Source organism: Homo sapiens, chromosome 8 (assembly GCF_000001405.40).
Source record: "Homo sapiens chromosome 8, GRCh38.p14 Primary Assembly".
Classification (NCBI taxonomy): domain Eukaryota; kingdom Metazoa; phylum Chordata; class Mammalia; order Primates; family Hominidae; genus Homo; species Homo sapiens.
Genome location: NC_000008.11, coordinates 12,202,527 through 12,207,735, shown reverse-complemented (window position 1 = coordinate 12,207,735; position 5,209 = coordinate 12,202,527). Strand labels below are relative to the sequence as shown.

Below are 5,209 nucleotides of genomic sequence, written 5' to 3'. Positions count from 1 at the left end.
GCAAGTGGATCACTTCAGCCCAGGGATTCGAAACCAGCCTGGCCAACACGACACAACTCTATCTCAACTAAAAATACAAAACTTAGCTGGGCATAGTGGCACATGTCTATAATCCCAGCTACTTGGGAGGCTGAGGCACGAGAATTGCTTGAACCTAGGAGTCAGAGGTTGCAGTGAGCTGAGATTGTGCCACTGCACTCCAACCTAAGTGACAGAGTGAGACCGTGTCTCAAAAACAACAAAAAAAAATATTGGTGTGGTGTCACATGCCTGTTGCCCCAGCTGCTCAAGAGGCTGAGGTAGCAGGATCACTTAAGGCCCGAAGTTCAAGGGTGCAATGAGCTATGATTGTACCCCTGCACCACAATGTATACATATATGTGTATGTGTACACACACACATATACATGTGTATGTATATATGCGTGTGTACACACACACATATACATGTGTATGTATATATGCGTGTGTACACACACACATATACATGTGTATGTATATATGCGTGTGTACACACACACATATACATGTGTATGTATATATGCGTGTGTACACACACACATATACATGTGTATGTATATATGCGTGTGTACACACACACATATACATGTGTATGTATATATGCGTGTGTACACACACATATACATGTGTATGTATATATGCGTGTGTACACACACACATATACATGTGTATGTATGCGTGTGTACACACACATATACATGTGTATGTATATATGTGTGTGTACACACACATATACATGTGTATGTATATATGTGTGTGTACACACACATATACATGTGTATGTATATATGTATGTGAGTATATGTACACATATATACATGTGTATGTATATATGTATGTGTGTATATATACACATATATACATGTATATGTATATATGTGTATATATACACACATACATATATACATGTACATATGTGTATATATATGTGTGTATATATATATGTGTATATATATAAAAAACACACATGCACAAATTCACCACCACCAACTCAGAAATTACCGTCTCCTTCTATTCTAAGGAACTATTTTTCATATTGCCATCTCTGTAGTTGTAATACACCTTACAATCACTGGAATGTCACGGTCTCATTGGCAGCATTTTTCTGCTCAGTAGCCCATAAAATAATAGTACATCTTGTAACTAACAGTGTTGTAGATGCTATGAGATCCTGGGGAAGCCCAGAATCTAACTCCACCCTGTCTGACTCCAAAGACCACATATTTCCTACACCTTTGGACAGGGGCACAGATGTAGACAACTCGAGCTTTGCTGATTGTGAGAAAGGTATGACAAATGGCCCTGATGGAATTTTCTTCTTGTACTTACAGGGGAACAGAGCGGCATCATTCCACTATTCCAGGGGAGGTGCTAAATATGAGGGTGAGGCTGTCAAGTGGTCCCTGGTGGATTCCTACACTCACCCAAGCAGCAACGAGACAGAGCGGAAGGAGAACATCGATACCGTCATGAACTGGTTCACCAAGGAAGACTTTGATTTTGTGACTCTGTGCTACAGAGAGCCAGATAACGTGGGACATCGATTCGGGCCAGAGGCAGAGAAAAGGAAGTTGATGATTCAGCAAATCGACAGGACCATCGGGTATCTGGTGGGAGCCACTGAGAAGCACAGCCTGCAGAGCACCTCAGCGTCATCATTACATGAGACCGTGGGATGACCACCGTAAAGAAGAGACCCAATGTCAACAAGATCCCCTTGTCCAACTACGTCAAGTTCAGGGACCTGGTCAAGTTTGATATTGTGCGCTACGGTGGCTTTGGGATGCCCCTGCCCAAGTTGGGGCAAGAGGAAGCCCTTTACCAGGCACTGAAGAATGCGCACCGTCACCTCCACGTCTACAAGAAGGAGGAGTTTCCAGAACACTTCCATATCGCTAAACATGACCGGGTTCTGCCAATCGTGATGTATGCCAACTCTGGTTACAGTATCAATGGGGTAAGTTCATTCTAAAATGAATAAAGTCACCTTAGATCTAGGAGACAACCATTAGGGAAGGGTGGTTCTGCAAAAATCAAACATTAGTGCACAGCCAGGCACGGTGGTTCACGCCTATAATCCTAGCACTTTGGGAGGCTGAGGCAAGTGTATAACCTGAGGTCAGGAGTTTGAGACCAGCCTGGCCAACATCGTGACACCCCAGCTCTACTAAAAATACAAAAATTAGCCGGGCGTGGTGGCGCGCATCTGTAGTTCCAGCTGCTCTGGAGGCTGAGGCAGGAGAATCGCTTGAACCTGGGAGGCAGAGGTTGCAGTGAGCCAAGATCATGCTACTGCACTCCAGTCTGGGCAATAGAGTGAGACCCTATCTCAAAAAAATATAATATAATATAATATAATATAATATAATATAATATAATATAATATAATATAATATAACATAACATAACATAACATAACATAACATAACATAACATAACATAACATAACATAACAAAACAAAACAAAATAAAATAAGTGCACACACTATGAGTTGTAGCCCACAGGGTCCTAAAGGTTCCCCACCCCCCGCCCAACCAATGCTGCGCCAAGTTACCGTTATACAAGATTAATGACCAATTCAACTTGATAAGGCTGATTTAAAAATAAAAATAAGGCTGGCCATGGTGGTTCACACCTGTAATCTCAGTGTTTTGGGAGGCCAAGACAGGAGGATTGCTTAAGGCCAGGAGTTCAAGACCAGCCCAAGCAACAAAGGGAGACGTCATCTCTACAAAAAACTAACAAATAAATAAATAGCCAGACATGGCGATGCATGCCTGTAGTCCCAGCTACTCAGGAGGCTGAGGTGGCAGGATTTCTTGAACCCAGGAGGTCAATCCTGCACTAAGCTGTGATTGCACTACTGCACTCCAGCTTGAGCAACAGAGCAAGACCCCGTCTCTAAAAAATAAATAAACAAATAATAAAAAATAAACACCAACTTCATTATTCAAAACTGTGCACAGCGCTTCACTAAACATTGAACAGCAGTTCTTTCATTTTTGTCGTCCCAACAACCCTATAAAATAGATGCTCTTAGTTCCGCCATTTTAAAGAAGAAATCAAAACGTAGAGAGAAGTGACTTGAGATTAAAAATGTAAGGTTGGGCTGGGTGCAGTGGCTCACACCTGTAATCCCAGCACTTTAGAAGGCTAACGTTGGTACATTGCTTGAGCCCAGGAGTTTGAGACCAGCCTAGGCAACACAGTGAAACACCATCTCTACGAAAAATGCAAAAAATGTAGCTGGGCGTAGTGGCACGTGCCTGTGGTCCCAGCAACTCAGGAGGCTGAGGTGGGAGAACTGCTCGAGCCCGGGGGTGTTGAGTCTGCAGTGAGCCATGATCACGCCACTGTGAGATAGGAGGCAGGACTTGACGACACAGGCAGGGCTTGGACACCAGACCAAATTAAGGACTACCTAAAACAGGGCTGGGGCAGAAGAAGCTTTCCATCAGACATGCCCACCAGTGTGCCATGTGAGTTTACTATTGCCAAGGCAACACCAGGGAGTTACTGCCCCTTTCCATGGCAATGACCCAATGACTCAAAAGTTACTACCCATTTTCTAGAAATTCCTGCATAAACTGCCCTTTAATCTGCATGCAATTAAAAGTGAGTATAAATGTGATTGCAAACTCTCTGCCGCTACTCTCTGCCACCAGGGTAGCCCTGCCCTACAGGAGCAGTCACAGGGCTGTAATGCTGCCTCTTCAATAAAGCTGTTTTCTTCTAAACCTCCGGCTTGCCCTTGAATTCTTTCCTGGATAAAGACAAGAACCCTCAAGTGCTATTGAGAGGTGACAGCATGCTAGCAGCCCTCGCGCTCACTCTCGGCGCCTCCTCTGCCTGGGCTCCCACTTTGGTGGCACTTGAGGAGCCCTTCAGTGCACCGCTGCACTGTGGGAGCCCCTTCCTGGGCTGGTGGAGGCTGGAGCCGGCTCCCTCAGTTTGCGGGGAGGTGTAGAGGGAGAGGCGCGGGCAGGAACTTGGACTGGGCACGGCGCTTGTGGGCCAGTGCGAGTTCCGGGTGGGTATGGGCCCACTGGGCCCTGCACTCGGAGTGGCTCACCGGCCCCGATGGACCCGGGCAGTGAGGGGCTTAGCACCTGGGCCAGCAGCTGCTTTGCTCAATTTCTCACTGGGCCTTAGCTGCTTCCCTGCAGGGCAGGGCTCGGGACATGCAGCCCGCCATGCCTGAGACTCCACCCAACCCGCCGTGGGCTCCTGCGCGACCTGAGCCTCCCCGATGAGTACCGAGCCTCCCCGACGACCACAGCCCCCTGCTCCAGGGCACCCAGTCCCTTCGACCACACAAGGGCTGAGGAGTGCCAGCACAGGGCACGGGACTGGCAGGCAGCTCACCTGCGGCCCCCGTGTGGGACCCACTTGCTGAAGCCAGCTGGGCTCCTGAGTCTGGTGGGGACTTTGAGAACCTTTATGTCTAGCTAAGGGATTGTAAATACACAAATTGTCACTCTGTATCTAGCTCAAGGTTTGTAAACACACCAATCAGCACCCTGTGTCTAGCTCAGGGTTTGTGAATGCACCAGTCGACACTCTGTATCTAGCTAATCTAGTAGGGATTTGGTGACCTTTTGTGTCTAGCTCAGGGATTGTAAATGTACCAATCAGCACCCTGTCAAAACAGACCAATCGGCTCACTGTAAAATGGACCAATCAGCAGGATGTGGGTGGGGCCAGAGAAGGGAGTAAAAGCAGGCTGCCCCAGCCAGCAGTGGCAACCCATTGGGGTCCGTTTCCACACTGTGGAAGCTTTGTTCTTTTGCTCTTTGCAATAAATCTTGCTGCTGCTCACTCTTTGGGTCCACACTGCCTTTATGAGCTGTAACACTCACCTCGAAGGTCTGCAGCTTCACTCCTGAAGCCAGCGAGACTATGAACCCACCGGGAGGAACAAACAACTCCAGACGCCCCACCTTAAGAGTTGTAACACTCACCTTGAAGGTCTGCAGCTTCACTCCTGAAGCCAGCGAGACCACAAAACCACCAGAAGGAAGAAACTCTGAACACATCCGAGCATCAGAAGGAACAAACTCTGGACACGCAGCCTTTAAGAACTGTGACACTCACCGCGAGGGTCCGCGGCTTCTTTCTTGAAGTCAGTGAGACCAAGAACCCACCAGTTCCGGACACACTATGCTCCACTTCGGGGCTCCCCTGCCCT

The 5,209-nt window shown here is 47.3% G+C and overlaps 1 pseudogene; it reads left to right on the top strand.

Annotated features, from left to right (window-relative positions):
* Window positions 1,347-1,977, top strand: ENPP7P12 (ectonucleotide pyrophosphatase/phosphodiesterase 7 pseudogene 12; annotated as a pseudogene).